Here is a 23,581-nt window from a genome sequence, read left to right as displayed (position 1 = left end):
CCAGTTCCGTATCCACAGTGTTTGGGTAAATCTGTCAGGCATTCATTTATTCACTTATTTTTTCTCTTCAATCATGAAACCTGGGTCCCTGCCCTTCACCTGGCCTATTGCTAGAAATATACAGAAGACAAAAAAATCAAATTTCTTGCCTAGAGAGGTTTCCAGTATAGAATGTGGCTGCAGCCAGTGGGGAAATCAATGGTGCCCCTGCATAATGACCCTGGAGCAGAGATGACAGGTTTGATGGCAGAGTAAAAGTGAAGGCAATGGAGGGGGAAGCATTATGATCAGCTCTAAGACTTGAAGCTCGAGGGTCGGAGTGCCCGAGGCCACCATTAATGGAGCCAGGGATTCCAGATCAGAGGCAAATGATGGATGACAAGGAGAATGATGACTTCACTTATGTTTGGTGCATTCAAGGCACTAAGGTGGAGACACCCAACCGGCAGTGGGAAAGTGAGATCTGCAGATTGGTCAGGAGAGAGACCTTGGCTGGAGTTATCCATGGGGGGGTCCTTCTCTTCAGAAGCATGGTTTAAGCACCCACCCTCTGCCAGTCACTGTGCATGGCATCAGGGATGCCTCTATGAGTAAGAAGCCATGGTTCCATCACCAGGAAGGGGCCACACACAGGACTTTCACTCACAGGTGCTTAGGAAATGCTGAATAATCTGAACGCACAGGGCCCTAAGGGTAAGTTAAGTCCCTGTCAATGTCTGTCTCTGCAGGTGATGACCATGCCGGAATATCTCAAGAAGCGGTTTGGTGGGGAGCGACTCCAGGTCTACCTCTCCATCCTCTCCCTCTTCATCTGTGTGGTTTTGTTAATTTCTGTGAGTTCAGAGCCTCCTGGCATTTTAGCTTCAAGAGGTTGGTCAGATGGGGCCAGAGTGCTAATATCAGAGAGCTGGATGTGTAGACTGTCAACAGCCTTTAAAGGGTCAAGGATATGGATGTCTTAAATTCTCAGGACTGTCTCTTCAAAGTCTTCATGAGGAAAAAGGGAGCTTCAAAGACCCTGTGTTCGTAGAGTGGTAGACTTTTAAGTCATGAGAGGCTCTGGGTATAAATCTCCCCTCTCATCAAGGATATGAAAAAATGGATGTAAAGAAAGAACAAAACGTCTCATTCAAGTAACACAGCTCTTTAGTAGTAAAGAGAAGGACTTGGTCGCCTGCCTTTTCCATTGCAAGATAACCTTTATATTCTTTCTCAGACCATGTCCAGATTTATATTTTCATTTTCAGTTTTATTATCTGACACGTGAACCACAAGGAAAGTACTTTGTATTATTATACTGATTTTTCTTAAGTTCACTCTATCTAAGACCACCATGGTAAGACATATGTCACAAATAAGTGTTAAAAAATTTTAAAGTACATTTTAAGTACTTTTTTATAAAGTTACATTTTTTTGGGCCTGGTGCAGTGGCGCACACTTGTAATCCCAGCACTTTGGGAGGCTGAGGCAGGTGGATCACTTGAGGTCAGGAGTTTGAGACCAGCCTGGCCAACATGGTAAAACCCCATCTCTATTAAAAATACAAAAATTAGCCAGGCATGGTGATGCACACCAGTAATCCCAGCTACTCAGGAGGCTGAGGCAGGAGAATAGCTTGAACACGGGAGGCAGAGGTTGCAGTGAGCCAAGATCACACCACTGCACTCCAGTCTGGGAGACAGAGTGAGACTCCATCTCAAAAATAAATAAATAAACAAACAAACATTACATTTTTGGGAGATAATCAGTGAGGAAAGAAGGAAGGAATATGAAGATTCAGCAGCACATGTAAAAAACAAAGAGTAACTTATTTGCTCCTCATGTATCGGTGACTAATGAAATAATCTCAAGTTTACAGTCTAGGCAGGTGTCTCAGAGTTCATGAGAGAAAAGGCTGACCTTTCCTATTGCTCCTCTGTTGAACCGAGTTGTTGTTGGAAGTGAACTAGCTGCTTAGGTTAGATGGCATGAGCCTTCCCAATGCAACGTGAGCATTGCCCAGCACTGACTGCATATTATTGAGCTTTGTGTGAGCGTAGCAAAGATTCTTGAGCCACGGGAGTTCACCATCTGGCTAAGGAAATAAGAATTCTGCACATGAAACAATTAGTCCCATATGACAATACATGTAAATGTACTAAAATACATGCTGAACTAGAGTGCATGGACAAGTACAGAAAATGTGCCGTGCACACCCGGAGAAGAGTATGCTCCCTGATGGATGGCATTGGGGGTCATACTCTTGGAGAGGGCACTTAAGTATTCCCCAGGATGGGAAGGTTAGGCGAGGCAGAGGGAAGCAGAGAAGCTCACAGGTGTCAGGGGCTTAGAGTTCACACGTCTCTTAAATCGTTGGACTTGCTAGTCTCCCAATTGTCCTCTGGTGCTGACATCTACAGCTTTACAGTTCTGAAGAGCATGAGCAGGCCGGGCGCAGTGGCTCACGCCTGTAATCCCAACACTCTGGGAGGCCGAGGCAGGCAGATCATGAGGTCAAGAGATGGAGACCATCCTGACCAACATGGTGAAACCTCGTCTCTACTAAACATACAAAAATTAGCTGGGCATTGTGGCATGCACCTGTAGTCCCAGCTACTCAGGAGGCTGAGGCAGGAGAATTGCTTGAACCCGGGAGGCAGAGGTTGCAGTGAACCGAGATCGCGCGACTGCACTCCGGCCTAGTGACAAGAGCGAGACTCCGTCTCAAAAAAGTAGATAAATAAAATTTTTATTTAAAAAAGAGCATGAGAAGGCATGAAGGCATAGAACAGAGGACAATGCACAGTGAAAAGGGGCCCCCGAAGGATGCAACCTCCCAGACTGGAGGGTCACTGGTGGATGGGGAGGGACAGAATGTTGGTGAGCTAGGTGTGGGTGCAGGGAAGCCATGTGCAGGTCTGTGGCTGTGCAGAGTCTGTGGCTGGCTGGAAAGACACCTTAGCAGGAGTCCATTCTTGCCTGCAGGTTTATGTCTTAAGTGACATTAATAATGATTAACCTTAGACATGACCTTTTGTGTACTCTTACACTCTGACACACGGATTGTCTCCTAGTTACTTATTAAACAGATCGTTATGAGACGTTAGGACAGGACAGTTTTCATAACTCTCCTCTGCCCAGGTTGGAAAAAGATCATCTTGTTCACTGGTTCTCAACCTGCAATAACATATGTATTGAGATTTGATATAAACTATTATCTAATCTACAGTCTTTATTCAGATATTGACTATTGTTTTAATACAGTCCTTTATAGCAAAAGAAAATCCTGATCCTTGCAATTCCTCTTTATTATGAGAAATATTTTACAGTCATTGTTAGTGTAATTAATGCCACTGAATTATATACTTAAATGGTTAAAATGGTAAATTTTATGTCATATATGTTTCATCACAATAAAAGAAAAATGTCATTGATGGCTGAGCCCAGTGACTTCTGCCTGTAATCCCAGCACTTTGGGAGGCTGAGGCAGGAGGATCACTGGAGGCCAGGAGTTCCAGACCTGCCTGGGCTAAATAGTGAGACCCTTATCTCTACCAAAAAAAAAATTATTTAGCCAGGTATGGGGGCACACATTTATTGTCCCAGCTACTTTGGCTGAGGCAGAAGGATCACTTGAACCCAGGAGCTAAGTTATAATGAGCTAAGATCATGCCATTGCACCACAGCGTGAGTGACCTGGAGTAGTCCCTATTTCTTTAGGAAAAAATTCATTGATAATATGTCAACTACTTACATACAATTTTAAAACCATGGATTTAATTCCTTAATAGTACTATATAATAGAAACAAAGGTCAAAGAATCCATAATAAGATAGTGTGTTTTAATATGAAAATGATTAAGTAGAACTACACATGAAGTCAAAATGCTGTGGTGTAATACTCGCCCCTCTGTGGATGAGGATAAAGCAGTATGAGTGAAGACAGCTATAAATGCAGGCAGAGGCAGATATCACACGTGGCACCTCCACAGGTAACACTCTTTTTCTGAAATGCTGAACATTTTTTTAAAAGTGAAATCTTCCCTCAATATTAGTTGGTATTCCTGGGAAACCCCAATGTGCAATAGAGTTACAGAAAGTACTTTGCATTTGTACAACCGAGTTGGGATCTAGGCTCAGAAAATCAAGAACAGGTTTTTGGCCAACATCAGTATCGCATGGGATGATAAAATGTCAGATTTTATTTCAAATCTTAGAGAAAAATACAACCGTCTCCTGCTACACCTGTTTCTAGCCCCAACTTCAACACAGAAACAGAGACAGAGTCTCACTCTATCTTCCAGGCTGGAGTGCAGTGGCACAATCTCAGCTCACTGCAACCTCTGCCTCCCAGGTTCAAGTGATTCTCCTGCCTCAGCCTCCCCAGTAGCCAGGATTACAGGCATGCACCAACACGCTCGGCTAATTTTTTTCTATTTTTAGTAGAGATGGGGTTTCACCATGTTGGCTAGGCTGGGCTCAAACTCCTGACCTCAAATGATCCACCCTGCTTGGCCTCCCAAAGTGTCTCTCATATGTTTTTAACTATTTGAAATTGTTACATATGTCATTGCCCTTTAACCCCAATAATTTCAATGTAAAATTTCCCCCAGATTTAACACTCATTGATGATTCTACCTGATCCAGTGATTTTTACCTGATCCAGTCTTTACTGTGGCAGTGTAAAATGATGGTTTTTTAAACTGAGCCTTCCCTGTATATTGTTATTCCTAGGAGCAGGGATAATTTCTTGCAAAACCAATTGGAATTATCAACTCAAGTAAACATAACATGGATACACTAATCTACCATTTAAATTCCAACTTTGTAAATTGACCCAGTAATACCTTTTTTAATCATCTTTTCTTCTCCAGTACAGGATGCGGTCTAGGGTCAGGTACTACATTCACTTGCCAAGTGTCTTTAGCCTCCTTTCATCTGGAACATTTCCATACCCTTTTTCTGTCTTTGATGATACTGACAATTTGAAGGATAGAGTCCCTACTCCACCCTTCTTAATATGACAATTTTTCTTTTGGATTTGCCTGATATTTCTTCATGGTTGGATTCACGTTATGCATTCTTCTTGGCTGGAATACTGCATAAGTGATGTATCCTACTAAAAGTATCCTATCTAGAAGCATTCAATGCCCGTCTGTTCCTCAATGGTGATGTTAATTTTAATCACCTGGTCAAAGTATTGCCCAGTTTCTCCACTATAGAATTACTGTTTTATTTTCCCCTGTAACCAATAAGCAGTCTGTGACAGATCCTTTAAACCACTGAAATATCCAGTTCCTCTTCAAATTTTTCCACTAGATTTAGCATTCATAAATGGTTCTTATCAGATCCAATCTTTACTATGATGGTTGCCAAATAATAATTTTCCAAAACTCCTAGCACTCCTTCCACAGTTCCCAGACAGCATTCAGCAGGCTACTGAGGGCAGGAGTCTTCCCTTCTCTATTTATCTATTACTGATATGGACTGATACATTCCTATTTATCATTGGTTTACCAATATTATTATATGCAGTTATTTTGATACTTTTTTTTTTGAGACGGAGTCTCACTCTGTCGCCCAGGCTGGAGTGCAGTGGTGTGACCTCAGTTCACTGCAACCTCTGCCTGCCAGGTTCAAGCAATTCTCCTGCCTCAGCCTCCTAAGTAGCTGGGACTACAGGCACGCGCCACCATACCTGGCTAATTTTTTGTATTTTTAGTAGAGATAGGGTTTCGCCATGCTTGTCAGGCTGGTCTCGAACTCCTGATCTCGTGATCTGCCCGCCTTGGCCTCCCAAAGTGCTGGGATTACAGGCATGAGCCACCACGCCCAGCCAGTTATTTTGATACTTACACCACATTTGGCCAGTGAGAGTTCCTCAAACTGGATTCTGTGTAAAGGATGGGGCATGATCCCATCATTTTGTTGGGCAATTTCTTAAATTCTGGCCTAACAAAATGTTTCAGACTCATCTTGTACCAGCCCTGCTCCAGTCCTGGAGTCACCTATTTTTCTGGGAGAGCCCTGGCTCCTTTAGTGGGGAGGGGTATTAGAAACAAAAATCTGCGTGCTAAGTGTGCTTATTGGGTGGACTTTTTTTCTTGACTATTTTAGCTGACATCATTAGGAAATAAATGCATACATACACACATGTAAATGCCCACACATAAATAGATATATTCACACACACACATACATATACTTTCTAGGCAGCTATACACGTACATATACAGTTTAGAAATCATGAGTTCACACTAATATCTCCAATTCCAGTCCAGCTCTATAGAGTATTTTATTGCCTTCTGCAATTCTATATTTATATGTTCCCTCTTCCACAACTGAGAATCCTGGCCCTCCAAGTCATCAACATACATACATATATATATACACACATATATATACACACACACACACACACACACAGATATATATATACACACACACATACAGATATATATACACACACACACACACACACACACACACATATATATATGTAAAATTTGTTTGCTCAATCCTATAATGCATCAAAAATGGTTTCAGAAATGCTTCAGGACATTGGTCTGGGCAAAGGTTTTTTTAGATAAGACCTCAAAACCACAGATAACAAAAGCATAAATTGACAAATGACCTCAAGTGATCCACCCGCTTTGGCCTCCCAAAGTGCTGGGATTACAGGCATGAGCCACTGTGCCCGGCTGAAACAAAAATAAGTAAATATTTTTAAAAAGAAAATTATTTCCGAATTGCCTCGCCCATACTGCTACAAAAAAAACAAACTATGAATTCAGAACTTATTTGCAGTTCTCTTCCATCCCCACCATAAGACTAGTGTATCATCAAACATGGTGTTCCTCATTTTGCCAAACTTTGTTGCCACTTCTAGAAGCTTCTCCTCGGTGTAGGTCCCTGTTCTGAAAGGCAGCTTTGGCTGTTAGTTTTGAGAGCTTGTTTGACCCAGACTACTCTGAACCCTTTTGGAATTTACCAAGGAGCCCTTACAGTTGCCCACTGGTTATTAAAGCAAAACTTATTTTATGCTCTGCTGTAGTTCTGAAATTGTCCCACTGTGCTGCTCAGTGTCACCTGGTGGCTATGTGGAGATGTCTAACTCTAAGTTTCTTCAGATAAGCTGCTGTTTCTCTCTGCCTCCTCCCAGATCTTGCTGCCATGCAGGTCTTGTGGCAGGTTGCACCTGCCGTCTTGCCTTTTGGGCCTCACGGAAATACCCTGTCATCTAATTTTGTTGGTTTTGCCATAAACTTGCTCTGTCTAATGTAGAGATTCATGGAAGTTCACAAACTATGCTGCCATATTCACCATCTTCCTAGAATAATTTATCTATACTTCTCTAAGTGTTCCCCACATATTTCACTAAGTAAAATTCCATGATAGCAGTATAACAAAGTGTTTAACCATGGAAGCTTCTGAGTCACACCACACAGGTTTAAATCCTGAGCTTACCACTTTCTATCTGGGTGATCTAGGACAAATTCCCTAAGCCTCAGTTTTCTCAGATGCAAAATGATGATAATAATAACCTACCTGACAGGTAGTTTGGGGACATGGAGAAGGGTAGGGGTGAATTCTTTCAAGGTTTCAAGTAAGAGATGATCTGTTGGCAGCTTAAGTTTTTCCAGAACAGAGAAAAAAATGTTACGCAATTTGTCTCTTAAAACGGACTCAGTTCTGTTAATAATTTTAGGAAAATTAAAACAAACAGATAATTATAAAAATCCTCATTGGCAAACAAGAATACTAATTCTAAGAACATATACATTATTAGTTTTATATATGTATACACACACACACATATATATATATACACACATATATAATAACTAGCAGGAAATTGTCCTGAATTATTCATGTTAATTATGCTGAGCCAAACAGTGTAGATAAGAAAATGTACTTCCCACTGAAATATGTTTGCCTTAGAGAGATTTTTAAGTTGATCATAGTCTCCTTTTTTTATGGTTAGACCTAAGGGCCCTAGGAGGGTCAGAGACACATGTAATTAATTGAATTCCAGCCAACATCATGCTTTTACAGCACAGTCTGCATAATCTAAATTAATTCTACATTTTCCCCTCAATTTCAAAAATAATCATAACTAACCCCCCAATTCAAACCAATTTTCCATCACTGTAGCACATATCTATTTGGAATATAAATGAAACAATGCTCTTTGGTTGCATTCTATTTTGGTACATACTTTCTTTTTTTTTTTTTTTTTTTTTGAGATGGAGTCTCGCTCTGTCACCCAGCTGGAATGCAGTGGCGCCATCTCTGCTCACTGCAAGCTCCGCCTCCCAGGTTCACACCATTCTCCTGCCTCAGCCTCCCGAGTAGCTGGGACTACACACGGCTGCCACCATGCCTGGCTAATTTTTTGTATTTGTAGTAGAGACGGGGTTTCACTGTGTTAGCCAGGATGGTCTCAATCTCCTGACCTCGTGATCCACCTGCCTCGGCCTCCCAAAGTGCTGGGATTCCAGGTGTGAGCCACCGCACCCGGCCGTTTGGTACATACTTTCTATCCAATATATTAGGTTGGTGCAAAAGTAATTGTGGTTTTGCCCTTAATAAATTTTATAGTACATAAAACACACAATATAATATATATATTATATATATTTTATATATTATACATATATTTTATATAATTTATATATATATAAATATATATATAAATATATATATATATATATATATATATATATATATATATATATATATATATAATATGCACTCCCAGGCTGGAGTGCAGTGACTCAATTACTGCTCACTGCAGCCTCAAACTCCTGGGCTCAAGGAGAAGATATATTTCTAAATACTCCATCACAGTCAAGGGGCTTCCTATAAGCAATTACTCAGCCTGTCTAAGCCTCATGATACAGAAAAAGTTCTCAGGACATGTCACTTCATTTAATAAGCACCTCAACTGAGCAATGAACTAACTTCTATGCGACTACAGAAGAGAGTGAAGAGAGTAAAAATCGTTTTTTGAGGCTTTATGGAAGGTATTACTCTGGGGCCATCTCAGTGGATTCTTGAAGGGTAAGTAGGAGTCTATCAGAAAAAGAAGGGTTGAGTAGAGTGGACATTGGGGCAGAGAAGCCAGTGGCCTCAAATGCATGTTTCTTTCTCATCCTGACTGTTCCCTTTTTAGGCAGACATATTTGCTGGAGCCATATTCATCAAGCTGGCCTTGGGATTGGACCTTTACCTGGCAATCTTCATCCTCTTGGCTATGACTGCTGTTTACACCACCACTGGTAAGTATGTTGCATATTTTGCTCACTCAGGCTATCTTTTGCTGATCCCACCCCAACCTGCAATTAGCATTCTCAGTGTTAACCTTGTCACTGCCGAGGTAAAGGCACCATTTCATTTCCACTATGAGAGTCAAGCACAGCACCAGAAACACAACTAGACCATACAACACAGAATCCTCCATATTAGATGTGAACATCTTGATGGAAGGGAATTATGTGGGGGATGGGGTAGGAAACAGGTCATTTGGTTCAGCTATATGTTTGGTAACCAGATTGGCACTTCGAATTCAGCATATCATCCACACAGACGGTTGGGAGGAAGTAGCAGCTCAGATAGGAGACTAGCAAATGAAAGGCAAGGTTCAAATGAACACAGGATGCCAGGGCATGGCCATGGCCATGAATGGTGCAGTTGGGAGAGGAGAACTGGAGCAGTGGGTTGCTGGCGGGAGACGATCTGTGACAATAGTCCAAGCAGGCTCTCATGAACCAGGTATGTTGATATGCTTCTCATGCATACTAACATAAAAATTAAAGTATACCAGCTGAGTTGGAAGACGTAAGGAAAAATACCAGCTAGAACAGTCAAAACAGTTTTGGGGCCATTTTCGTGCATTTGAGCTGTCAACCTAAAATAAGCGACAGAGAGACCAACTCTCCAAAATGAGGAGTTTCTTCGGGAATAGTGAGGGATTGCAAACCAGGATACATGTGCTATGGCAGACCACAGGACTTCCAAGGGGGTTGGGGCAAGGAGAGGCTTTTAAAGACAGAGAGGGAGAGTCCATGTAAGCTGTTTTGAAACAAAGATGATTGCTTCACCTGCTTGTTGCAGGTGCTGGTGTTTGTTCATTGGTGGTACTGGCTGTTGCTAGGAGACAGTCTTCATGATAATGTCTTCCAACAGTTCCTGTTACCGGCATAGGTGTATGAGGGCTCTACCTGCATGGTCTCCCAGCCCCATTTTGTTAGGGTTTGGCATAAGTGTCTCTATTTTGGTACAGACAACTTTCACAGAGCATGTGTTTCAGAATAAGGGAGCAATAAGGGCATGAGTCTTCTGTGTTCAGGATTCATCTTATTTTCTCATGACACTCTCATAAAGGGAATATCTTGTTGCAGGTGCTGGTGACTAACTAGACTGAGAGCCTAGTTAGTCTAGAACTGAAAAAGAAGTTGGGTTTGGATTTTTGTTGTTGTTGTTGTTCAACACTACAGCAAAACACAAAACACAGTAACTATATCTGGTACTGAATTAATGAAACAATAATACGTTCCAGCACTAGAGCAAAAGTGGTTTCACTAGATATTTTAGAGCAGGTGCACTGTGCTGAATGGGCGTAAATTGAGGGATTGTTAAGAGAAACTTTCATGGTATTAAAGTGCTGCCTTTTCCCCTATTTAATATTCAAAAACTCACACAAAGATGAAACTTCACTGTAATTCACAGAAACTTTGAATCAGGGCAAGGCAAGGGAAGTAGGAAAACCAGTGCTGAGGAGATCATGATGCCAGGACAAGCTTGTGGCTCACCCAGGAGCTTTTGATGTCTTCTACTGGGTCATTTCCAGGGTTGTGGGTGGAGGAGAACCCAGTGGTGAAGGTAAATACATGAGGACACATGGATAAAATGCCCTGGTTCTTTTCTTTCTCTCACTAGGGGGCTTGGCCTCGGTGATTTACACAGACACCCTCCAGACCATCATCATGCTGATTGGCTCTTTTATTCTCATGGGGTTTGGTAAGTGATGACCCTGCGTGCAGTGCCCAGGGCCTGGAAATCACGGGACTTGTTTCTGTTCGGTCTGTCTGCTCTTTATTGGGATGCCTTCCAGTTCCATCTGGTCACACTTTCCAGTCATTTACATAATCCCCATCACTGAAATATCTGCCTGACTTCTTTCTTGCTTTATTAGCTCAGCATGAGGAAATGGATGGTGGGGAAGAGAACATCACTTTCTTTTAAAAATTACTGCTTAGAGGCCGGGCGCGGTGGCTCACGCTTGTAATCCCAGCACTTTGGGAGGCCGAGGCGGGTGGATCACGAGGTCAGGAGATCGAGGCCATCCTGGCTAACGTGGTGAAACCCCGTCTCTACTAAAAATATAAAAAATAAGCCCGGCGTGGTGGCGCGCGCTTGTAGTCCCAGCTACTCAAGAGGCTGAGGCAGGAGAATGGTGTGAACCCGGAAATCGGAGGTTGCAGCGAGCCGAGATGGCGCCACTGCACTCCAGCCTGGGCAACAGAGCGAGACTCCATCTCAAAAAAAAAAAAAAAAATTACTGCTTAGATAAGTTATCTCATTTAACCTTGATTTCTTTGTGTTAAGGACAGACAAAATCAGTAGCATTGGGCTGATAATTTTACAGAAGTATTGTCTAGAAACCTTTCATTTACATAGAATTTTTATGAAATGAAGGATTAAATAGTAGGAAAAAATTTGAGAACTGAATATTAGTCAGTTCAACTGAATCATACACATAGAATACACAACCTGTGTTTGTGTATTCTAACAATGTATTGTAGTGGATTTTCATCCAAAACATCCATAACCTCATTATGACTATTTTGGATGGAAATCTATTAACAATACATTGTGATAATACACAAATATAGGTTGGAGTTTTCTTAATAATGCTCACTTATTAGTATCATTCAGTTCATTGCCGTCAAGCAATATTGATCTGATTTACTGCTTGCCAATATTTGTTTTCTCTTATTATGGTATTTATCTTTGCATAGGAAAACTAGCCATACTGGACGGCATGGATACGGAACATTTCTATCATTGCAGAATGTTTCTATTGCACAGTGCTATTGTTAGCACCAATTCTTTGTGTACTTTCTATTCAGTTATCCAGAACTTCTGTGCTGTTCTTGTTCATGGTGCCTTGGTTTCTGGCCTCAGTGATGCACTCTCTGGCATTAGGGTCTCTAAGCCTCAATTCTGCCATCTTTAGGATGAAGAGGGGGACTCTCATCTCTTAGGGTCTCCTATGTATTTTTGTTGCAAACCATATTTATCTAATCAAAGCAACTTCCTTGTATTGTCTGTATCCTCCACTCGGCTAAGTTCCTGCCTTGCACATTTATTTTGCACATGATCCTAGCAGTGTTTGGCGCATAGTAGTCCTTCAGCTAAATAATGAAGTAAATTAATGTTAACTCAGCCCTACAATTGTATAATACCCTGATGAATTTTTCATCATTTAAAGCTATACTAAGGGACCCCAGATGCCTGGACTCAGCTTTCTAAGGGCAATCACAATTCTCTTCTGCACCTGACTAGCCTTTCCAGACCCGAACAGGCTGAGTCTCAGTATTTTCTCTTGTCACGTCTAACCTGCCACTCCCAATTTCTGCTTCTTATCTTTCCAATTTTTTATTGTAACAGGCAAAATATAGTGTTGCACCAGAAAACCAGATTGCAAGTAAGATCAAAAGAGCCAAGCTCTGGGTCAAGAAGAGAGGCCTTTGCCTCCTGATCTTTTTCAGAGGAGCTGGGGCTTTCTGATGGATAATTTCATGAGGCTCACTTTGTTAGCTCACCTTCCAGTTTGCTTATGCTCTAAATGGTTGTGAGACATCAGTGTCAGCCTGTTGGATAACAGCTTCATTTTTACCTTAAAAGAAACACTAACTTAAAATTTCAAAGAGCAATATAGGAAGACAAGTCAGTTATTTGCTTTGTGTACTTCGTGAAAGTAAATCTGGTAGCATGGCCAATGCCAGCGGAGGTACCAGAAAGACATGGACCTGGGAGAGGGTCACTGAGGATTGGACTGGGCTGATGGGAGGTGCTTGTTTACCTCCACCAAAAAGTAGTCATCATAAACATTGGATGTCTTAGATTTCAGTAAGACATCTCATTTTACTCTGATGCCTTTTTAGCATTTAACGAAGTTGGAGGTTATGAGAGCTTTACCGAGAAGTACGTGAATGCCACCCCATCCGTAGTCGAGGGGGACAACTTGACAATCAGTGCCAGTTGCTACACACCTCGGGCGGACTCCTTCCACATCTTCCGAGATGCTGTGACTGGGGACATTCCATGGCCAGGAATTATATTTGGAATGCCCATTACAGCTTTGTGGTACTGGTGCACAAATCAGGTGAAGTATATGTATATGTGTGTCTGTCTGTCTGTCTGTCTGTCTGTGTGTCTGTATGTGTGCATGTGCTTGTTCTTTCTTGTCTCATAGAAAAACATTTAGTTTCCATTTTGCACACACATCGTTTAAAGAGTCAAACCCTTCTCTGTTTTTGTTTTTTGTGTTTTTTTGAGATGGAGTCTTGCTCACTCTGTCACCCAGGCTGGAGTGCAGTGGCATGATCTCAGCTCACTGCAACCTCCACCTCCCGGGTTCAGGTGATTCTCCTGCCTCAGCCTCCCATGTAGCTGGGATTACAGATGTGCACCACCACGCCCAGCTAATTTTTGTATTTTCAGTAGAGACGGGGTTTCACCATGTTGGCCAGGCTGGTCTCGAACACCTGACCTTAGGTGATCTGCCCGCCTCGGCCTCTCAAAGTGCTGAGATTACAGGGGTGAGCCACCGCACCCAGCTTAAAGAGTCAAACACTTCTACAAACCTTGCTATTTAAAAATAGCTGCATGGTGCCCTGCTTTCCACCCTATTTCTTGTCCTTCAGAGGCAAATGCTTTCAGCTCTTTTAAGTAAGTGTTTTGGCATTTATTTCTGTTCCCTAAATCCTTGTGCTCAGTGTGCAGTCTGTGAGCCATCAACATGGACATCACCTTGGAGCTCACTAGGAATAAATGCTCTCAGACCCTATAACCCTATCTAGACCCTTTGAATTGGAATCTGCTCATTAACTTGATCCCCAAGTGATTCAGATAAATGCTTGTGTTGCTCTCTCTTGGTTTTAGGATTTTATTGTTGGCTTCCCTATGATGAAGGATGAGAGTTTAGCTGTCTTTCAACTTTCCCTTCTCAGCCCCATGCAAGCACACCTGTTCCCCCATCCTCCCAATAGCTGTCAATCACAATTTTGGAGAGATCAGCATTCAGTGCCACCATTTTTGTGACTACCTGAATGTAATTCACAGCTGAACCATGTGATGTATACTGCCTGACTTTTCCTCAGCTTTTTTTTTTTTTGGTTCCTGGAATTAATAATTTTAATTCTTGTTTTCTTCCTTTTTTAAAAACATTATTTTTTAAATAGAGACAGGGTCTCACTATGTTGCCTAAGCTGGTCTCAAACTCCTGGACTCCAGCAATCCTTCTGTCTTGGCCTCCCAAAGTGCTGCAATTACAGGTGTGAGCCACCGCACCTGGCCAATTTTTAATTTTTCATTTTGAATTTTCTTGCTAATTATTACTCATTGAATGAAAGATTCTCCTGGAGTCTTTGCCCTCTCACAGTCTGGCAGCACTCCCTCTGGTGCCCAACCTTATCCAATGACCCCTTCGCTATCATCTTTGGGAATTCATTTTTGCCCTACTCCGGTTATTTCTCCTTTTTCCAGTATTGCCTATTGTCTTCTTTCTTAGTTTATTCCGTCCTTCAGGGCAAATCAAAGCCTTCAGTATCTTCCTAAGCTAGGCCTCAGGAAGTGAGAATGAGTGAGAATGTGTGACATTTGTCTTTCTGTGCCTGGCTTATTTCACTTAACTTAATGACCTCCGGTTCCATCCATGTTGCTGCAAATGACAGGGCTTCGTTGTTGTGTATGGCTGAATGGTTTTGCATTGTGTATTATGCATATTTTCTTTATCCATTCATCCGCTGATGGACACTCAGGCTGATTCCACATGTTGGCTATTGTGAATAGTGCTGCAATGAACACAGGAGTGCAGATAGCTCTTTGGTATACTGGTCCACATTATTTCTTATTGCAACATTAAACTCTGGAAAGGGACGCTGACTGCCTTTGAAATCATCCCCTGGCTTGTTTCATGAGTGTGTCACGTTCTCCCGGCAGGTCATTGTGCAGCGCTGCCTGTGTGGCAAGGACATGTCTCACGTGAAGGCCGCTTGCATTATGTGTGCTTACCTGAAGCTGCTGCCCATGTTCCTCATGGTGATGCCGGGGATGATCAGCCGCATCCTGTACACAGGTAAGCCCTGAATCCGTATGTTCTCTCTTTTTTTATGCTTGTATTCTGATAAGTGTTTTTAAAATGTCATAAAACCTTGAGAAAATCCATTCTGGAAGGAAGTAAAAGCAGACTTCCAGGTGGAGGGAGCAGCCTGCACAGTGGTCAAAGGCAGGAAAATTTGGCATATTGGACGCTCTGTTCCTTTATCCTCTTCATACCATCTGCCTATCTCGTAGACATTTGAGTCTGTGAGTTCCGTCTTCATGAGTTGCTTAGATTTAAGGAAGTCCAGAGAATATGGCAAAAGGACACTGCAGGATGAGGTAGAATTGGGTTAATTTGAGTTGAGTGAGCCGTACTGTCTGAGTTTGGTGACATCTCTGACTGAGAAGGTCTTGGTCCCTCTGAGAAAACTGGAGAACTGAATCAATTTTCAGTGCTTTGGAATCAGGTTGTTTGAGGATATGTAAATTTCTGAGTCAGCTAAGAGTAACTGCTAGTGTTAAAAATCTTCCTTAAAAAAATTCAACTTCCTTTCTTTATTACGAAAAGTGAAGGAAATATAACCAAATCTTTCTTGGCTAATTGAGGACTCATTTTTATTGGGGTAATCCCTCAGACAACACTGAATCCACTTCATGTTTTCTCAACTGGGCATCAGTTGATTTCACTGAAATCTTGTTAAGTGAACATCAAGGGACCAACATCACTTCTTACTGCAGCTTTGTAATGTTTATAAGGGTAAAGAATGCTCACGCCTGTAACCTCACCCACTTGGGAGGCTGAGGCAGGAGAATCGCTTGAGGCCCAGGACTTTGAGACCAGCCTGAGCAATACAGCAAGATCCCATCTCTAAAACAATAAGATAAAGTAGCTAGGCATGGTGATGTGTTCTGTAGTCCCAGCTGCTTGGGAGGCTGAGGTGGGAGGACTGCTTGAACCCAGGAGTTCAAGGCTACAGTGAACTATGATTGCACCATTGCACTACAGCTTGGGTGACAGAGACCCCGTCTCTTAAAAAAAAAAAGTGTAGGTATCTAACTAGTGGGGAATGGCCAAAGAAATTATTGTGCACCTCCTTTATGGAAAAATGAAAACAGGAGACTGAAGACTATCTCAAAACTTGGGAAAATACTGAGGTTATGATATTAAATGTAAAAAGAAACTTGCAACATAATGTCTCAACAACTATCATAGTTTTACAAAAAAGACATTTCTCTATAGAAAAGGATTAGGAAGGAATGAAAAGAAGCTAATGTGCTGAAGTGTTATTTTTCTGCGTGATTCTTTATCAATTCTCCCTGTCTGTTGTCATAATGTTGTTTAAGCAAAAACAAAAAACCAACAAGGTATTGTGCAGCTGCCACAGAGGTGAGGCATCATCACACATGGGACAGTCACCCAACTGACCATCACAAGCGACACCTCTTCTTAGATGCAGGTGAAAGATACTAGGCTAAATGTGACTGCACACAGGACCTAACTTCCTGTTGCTGTTGTCAGTCTCCGGAGCTCTGTGTTCCTGGAAGAATTTCTTCTTTTGCTGTTTTCCCAGAGGATGGGGTCCACTCCCTCTCTTTGCTCAAATGCCCTTGCTAGGCCACGTCCCAAGGGAGCCCCTATCCCATGGGTCAGTGCAAGGGGCTATGGGGATAAGATACTTGGGGTTGTGTTTTGGGCATAGAGGGGCCAGATCTATGATATGGAGTTCAAAATTGAATCTCCAGTTTCCAGGCAAATGTCTTTCCTTCCTTATGATCTTTCAACTTTTCTCTTTGTTTAATGGTTGTTGGTTTTGCCTATTTGGGCCTCATTGGACTCACTTCTGAATTCTTCCCCAGATATGGTAGCATGTGTGGTACCTTCTGAATGCGTGAAACACTGTGGCGTTGATGTTGGCTGCACCAACTACGCATACCCCACGATGGTGCTGGAACTGATGCCCCAAGGTAGGAAAATGTCCCTGCTGGGACAGCCCCAGAGGCCTGTCTAAGACGGGCCTCGAGGAAGGGTTATGGTGCAATTCTTGCACCTTCCATTAATTCAATCCAACTCATCAGACATTTCTTGAGCACCTTCTACAGGTTACCAGCTCTGTGCTAGGCCTGAAAATTTCAGAGATGAACCAGGTACAATTACTGTTAGAAGAATTCTTACTCCTTCAGATTCAAGACTGTTTTCTGAGGCAGCCAAGAACAAATTAAATGATCCATTTGTCAATAAAAGAGTTGCATAGTCATAAACTTGTAAACACAAGACCTAGAGGTAAACTATTTTTTCTGCTTTTTGGGGGCTAGTGATAACCAAATAAACCAAATAGAATAAACTATTTATTATGCTTTTTGGGGGGCATTTTTGGGGCTAGTGATAACCAAATAATAGATCTCAATCTATTTAATCTGCAACTATTTATTGAGTGCCTACTAAGTGCCAGGCACTGCTTTGGTGCTAACAAAACATCAGTGAAATAGGCATAAAGTCCCCTACCTCTTGGAACTCAAAATCTAGTAGTATGAGATAGAAAATAAACCACATAGGAAATACATAAATTATTAGGATGCCAGAAGGTGATCATTGCTGTGGTGAACAGAAATGGAGTAGGGTACAGAGCTCAGGACTTGACCAGGTGATCTCCTACTCCATCAAGGGTTGGCTACATTTCTTCCACCTTCCTCCACCCTGACACACAGGAGGGAGGAAGGGACCCTCTTTCCTTCCTTATGATCTTTCAACTTTTGGCCCACAACCATGTCATGGCCCACAACCATGACACCACATGCTTCCCATCCACACACACTCTGTCCTAGGAGGCTTAGGGCCGTTACTAATGGGCAGAGGGAACTGGAGGATGAAGTTCCCATCATGGCTCAAAACTCTTGGCTTTGCCCCTCCAAAGACTTATTTAGCAGAACCGCCTACTGGACTTCTTCCTCTCCAGTTCTCTTAAGTCTTCAGGAAGCCAACAGTCCCTACCCAAAGAAAGATGGTGTGATGTTGTTTCCTCTCTTCTAAAACTAGGTTCCAGTAGATGATCTCTAAGTTCATGTTTAGGACTAAAATTCTTTTTGCTTTAATCTGTCCCCTCAAGCATTTATTTTTTGAGTTACAAACAATTCAATTACACTCTTTAAGTCATTTTAAAATGTACAATTAAGTTATTACTGATTATGGTTACCCTGCTGTGCTATCAAACAGTAGGTCTTATTCATTCTTTCTCTTTTTTGTACCCATTAACCATCCCCGCTGCCACCCCTAGTCCCCCATTACTCTTCCCAGCCTCTGGTAACCATCCTTCTGCTCTCTATAGCCATGAGTTCAATTGTTTTTGATTTTTAGATGGCACAAGTAAGTGAGAACATGTGATGTTTTGTCTTTCTGTGCCTGACTTATTTATACTGGATTATTCTCAGGTGACCAGGAAAATATGCAGGAAACTCCACATGCTGATGTGTATTGATAAGGACATCAGTTAACCTATGTTCCAGATGATACTTTTAACCTTTCAACCCTCTCTGGTTTAGCAAGGCAGTGTCCAGCCACTAACCAGTGCTTGTACCCTTTCCCGGCTCCAGGACTGCGAGGCCTGATGCTTTCGGTCATGCTGGCCTCTCTCATGAGCTCCCTGACCTCCATCTTCAACAGCGCCAGCACCCTCTTCACCATTGACCTCTACACCAAGATGCGGAAGCAAGCGTCGGAGAAAGAGCTCCTGATAGCTGGACGGTGAGTGAACCCTGGTTCCCACCTAGAATCCTCTGGAGAAGTACAGACGTAGAAGTGAACTAGAGTTCCCTTGTCTTTGGCTTTGGTGAAAGTAATCATAGCATCTGGGTAGAGGGAAGAGACATTGGAGTACATCAAATTCAAGTGATCACTTTCCAGATACAAAAATTTGAACCATACCTTTAAATGAAATAATCACTTTTTCAGTCTTTCAAATGCTTCTGAATGGCTCTTATTTCTTCCCCTCCTCACATCACCCCCCTATCCACATCTTCATAAAACTCCACCAGTATTTTAATAGGGTGTAAAATTTCCACCTACTCTGATAGGTGAATGCATTGTCTCTAGCAGTTTCCATGTATATCACATGGAGGTAATGGATTAAGTCTTCCACACATGAACACAGAGGAGTTTATCAGTCATATTCATTAATGATTGGGCTGTGTTACAAAGGAGCAGGGAAGGGACTAATTCCAAGAGGATGCTTGGAGAGTTAAGTCAACCCAGGGGACCCTGAGCAGCCTGGGGGCCTTGAAGATAGTGGAAGTGAGATGGAGGGAAACAAGAGGAAAAAAATCGATACCAGAATGTCCTTTTTCACCTTCACAATTTTCGAGAAGACCCTATATTGTCATAGCATTTTTTTTTTTTGAGACAGAGTTTCACTCTTTTTGCCCAGGCTGGAGTGCAATGGCATGCTCCCAGTTCACTGGAACCGCCGCCTCCCGGGTTCAAGCGATTCTCCTGCCTCAGCCTCCTGAGTAACTGGGATTACAGGTGCCCGCCACCATGCCCAGATAATTTTTTGTATTTTTAGTAGAGATAGGGATTCACATCGTTGGCCGGGCTGGTCTCAAACTCCTGACCTTGGGTGATCCATTCTCCTCGGCCTCCCAAAGTGCTGGGACTACAGGTGTGAGCCACCGCCGGCCTGGCCTGTCATAGCATTTTGTAAAATGTTTTAAAAATCAAAGTACAGCACACATAAAGAAAACAGTTAAAACATGGATGCACAGCTCAGAGATGTGTCACCAAGTGAGGACCCATGTAACCATCGATCAAGTCAAGACATGGAAATTACCAGCACCCAGAAGTTCGTTCGTCTTGGGCCACCTCGTTCCAAAGCTAACCACTGTGACTTGTGATGCTATAGCTTAGTCTTTTCCAACTTCAGGCTATCATAAGTAGAATAATTGAATTTGTATCCCTTGAAATACAATTTTTTTTTCAAGACAGAGTCTTGCTGTCGCCCAGGCTGGAGTGCAGTGGCTCGATCTTGGCTCACTGCAACCTCTGCCTCCCGAGTTCAAGCGATTCTCCTGCCTCAGCCTCCCGAGTTCAAGCGATTCTCCTGCCTCAGCCTCCCGAGTAGCTGGGACTAGAGGCGTGCACGACCATGCCCAGCTAATTTTTGTATTTTTAGTAGAGACGGGGTTTCACCATGTTGGCCAGATGGTCTTGATCTCTTGACCTCGTGATCCGCCCACCTCAGCCTCCCAAAGTCTTGGGATTACAGGTGTGAGCCATCCCCACCTGCCGAAATATGGCTTCTTTTGCTCATGTTATGTTTGCAACATTCAACCGTGTTGCTATGTGTAGCTGTAGTGTAATTTCTTTCTCTGTGATGTTCCACTGTAGTAAGATATCAGAATTTGTCTACTCTTTTCAAAGAAATTGGTATCAAGAGAAACTGACCAACTATTTAAAAGACTGTACTTTGTTGGTGACAGTAACAATAGCTTTAGTAAATTAAAACACTTGGGGCAAAACCCAAAGGCCTCACTTGGCCCAGAGCTTGACTCTGGACAAATGCTGTAGGAGAGGGAGTACAGTAGGGCAGGAGTGTACCTTTAGTAGAGAAGGTACTGGTTGGTGTTCAGGAGACCCAAGATGCAGTCGTCCCACTGATAGGTATATGATCTTGGACACACATCCTCCTTAAGTCTCAATGATAAAGTAATAACTTTTTCTTTTCCCCTCTCTCTGTTATCAAATGTCTACTATCTCACAAAACACAAATAGGAAAAAAACATGTACGTTTTTAAAATTCTTGCCTTGTGGAATATATGCCTTTGTCAGGAAGATAGACAATTAATAAAGGTATGCTACCTCAGGTGACCAGAGGTGCTAGAAAGACAAAGCAGGAAGAAAGGATGGAAGTAACCTCATCCAGGTGCTCAGGGAGTCCTCTCTGAGGAGGTGGCATCTGAGCAGAGCCTGCAATGCAGGAAGTGTGGGAGTGAGCCCCATGGTGCTCTGGGGGAAGGAAAAACGAGGGTTGCTTTCCTCCCACAGTCACATATGTGATATGTTTGAGAACAAGCAGGAGTGAGGTTCATCCATGAGAAGCCAGTGGGAGAGTGAAGAGCAAGGTCAGAAAGGTGCCTGGAGGCGAGGTCATCCAGGGCCATTGAAGTCATAACAAGACGGGATTTTATTCTACATGTGATAGGAAACTGGAACTGAATGAGTTGGGAAAGCACATGATTTGTCTTCCAATGGTAATTAAAAAAAAATACCAACAGTAAGTGTAATTTATTGAATCCTTACTGTGGTTTAGGCATTATGCTAAGACTTCCCATAGTTTATCACATTTAGTTGTTGCAAGGATGCAGTGATTTTGTAACATTTAAATGAGACATTTGTGCTTCAGTCTCCTGCCCAAATGCTTGTTCCTTCCTCCACCCCACAACTGCTTCTCTGTTTCATGTGAGCAGAGAGAGATGAATGGCCTTTTACGCACACTGCAGTAAATTGCGTCGGTTCATTTACTCACAGAACAAGCACAGACAATGCTGCAGTTTAGAAAGGTTAAGAAGTCATGCTCCCTGGACAACAGGAGCCTTTAACACGCTTTTTACCTGCTGAAGTACTCAAGTAGTAAAATGCACAAGTTAGCATTTCTTGCTGATTTACCCAGCATTCTGAGATAGAGGCTGTTTCCATTCTAACCTATGCAAACCAACTTTGTTCCCTGCAAGCTAGCAAAAGAACAAAAAATGGAAGTCTGCTTTCTTTATCATACAAATAATTGCTGGTTAATAGAAGTAGTGTGGTATTTATTTCCAATTGATATACTACATGTAGTGTATTGGAGTTATTAATCACTGATATTTTAACTATTTTTATGAATAGATATTTAATCTCATAGATGAAGCTATTATGATTAATTATAGACAAGCAATTGCTTTATTGGCACTTTACTAAAAGATCACCATTAAGCACAGCATGGGTTTATGTATGATCAAGGAGCTTGATTTTGTTTGGAAAATCAATGAGTGACAACAAGAATGAACGCTAGAACTAAAGCACAATGGAAGTAACTATAGTGCTTTTGTTTAATGTTTAAATTATGTTGTTTTCTTCTCAGGATATTTGTTCTTCTATTAACTGTTGTGAGCATTGTGTGGGTCCCACTGGTACAAGTTTCTCAAAATGGACAACTAATCCATTACACAGAATCAATTTCTAGCTACCTTGGGCCTCCAATTGCAGCTGTCTTTGTGCTTGCCATCTTCTGTAAAAGAGTCAATGAACAGGTGAGTGAAAACTGGAAAAAAAGTTTCCCTGCTGGAGTGAGAAAAAAATCGTTTATTTCACTGGGGTATCAAAATACATTCTTTCTCCCCTATTTATGCAAATCATGGCCCATCTTAATTTTAGTTGAGGTCAGCCACAATTCCTGATCCTTGCTAAAGTATAAAAATATAGCGCACATTCATAGTACAGTCTTTATATGTTTCTTACAAAATATTACGTACATACATGGTGCAGAGTTGAGGAACATGTTTGGGAGGCAGACTGCCAGGGCCCAATCATGGCTATACCACCTAATCGTATTGTGATCCTAAGCAAATTGCTTGAGTCTCTGTAAAATGAAGATAATGATAGCACCTATTCTATGGGATTGTGGTGAGTATTAAGTGAGATAAAATATGTGAAATTCTTAGAAGAAAACCTACCACACTGCTAAGAATTCAAATTGTGTTCATTACTATTGTGATATATGTAATTAATTGATTATTGTGGATCATGTACCCTTAATCTTTCAATCATTCCTTAGTACTAGCCTTACTATTATGATTTTCAGATGAGGAACAGGTGCAGAGGGGTTAGTATCTATGTGCTTTCCACATGTTACTTAATATTAGTAAGTGGGATCTTGGTATTCAGGCTTAGATCTTCTTCCATCCAAAGCTCATACCATTAATCTCCATGCAATACAGTTTTTCTAAAACATAACATCTTGAGCAGAGGAACAGACACATGTTTCCACCCCCATCAACTCCTCACAGAAATAAATTATCAAGAGCTTCATAGAACTCTCAAAACTACCTAATATCAGCTCTGGAAATTGTGTAACATAATTGATACTTCTGCTTATTTTATCAAATAAATCACAAGTGTTTTGATCTAACTATGAAACAAAAGTCAAGGAAAACTTCAGCTTGGGTCAGTGTAGACAGTAGTGTCCTGGTATTGGAGAATCAACGATGGTGCAGTGGTATGTACAGTTCAGGATCATGGAAAG

The 23,581-nt window shown here is 41.9% G+C and overlaps 1 protein-coding gene and 1 long non-coding RNA gene across 7 annotated transcripts in view; one reads left to right on the top strand and one right to left on the bottom strand.

Moving 5' to 3' along the window:
• Positions 1-23,581, bottom strand: part of SLC5A4-AS1 (SLC5A4 antisense RNA 1) — a 68,501-nt gene that overhangs the window by 25,372 nt on the left and 19,548 nt on the right. The window lies entirely within an intron of this gene.
• Positions 1-23,581, top strand: part of SLC5A4 (solute carrier family 5 member 4) — a 136,600-nt gene that overhangs the window by 106,820 nt on the left and 6,199 nt on the right. For all 6 annotated transcript variants that reach the window (XM_017028920.2, XM_006724308.4, XM_011530342.3 and 3 more), the window contains 8 exons: positions 729-833; positions 9,154-9,259; positions 10,920-11,000; positions 13,151-13,371; positions 15,210-15,345; positions 17,169-17,276; positions 18,900-19,050; positions 22,421-22,589. In XM_017028920.2, coding sequence (XP_016884409.1) covers positions 729-833; positions 9,154-9,259; positions 10,920-11,000; positions 13,151-13,371; positions 15,210-15,345; positions 17,169-17,276; positions 18,900-19,050; positions 22,421-22,589 — 1,077 coding nt within the window. The remainder of the gene's footprint in view (positions 1-728; positions 834-9,153; positions 9,260-10,919; positions 11,001-13,150; positions 13,372-15,209; positions 15,346-17,168; positions 17,277-18,899; positions 19,051-22,420; positions 22,590-23,581) is intronic.

This window comes from Homo sapiens, chromosome 22 (assembly GCF_000001405.40).
Source record: "Homo sapiens chromosome 22, GRCh38.p14 Primary Assembly".
Taxonomy (NCBI): Eukaryota; Metazoa; Chordata; class Mammalia; order Primates; family Hominidae; genus Homo; species Homo sapiens.
The sequence above is the reverse complement of the archived record's forward strand: the minus strand, read 5'-3'. Positions and strand labels throughout refer to the sequence as shown.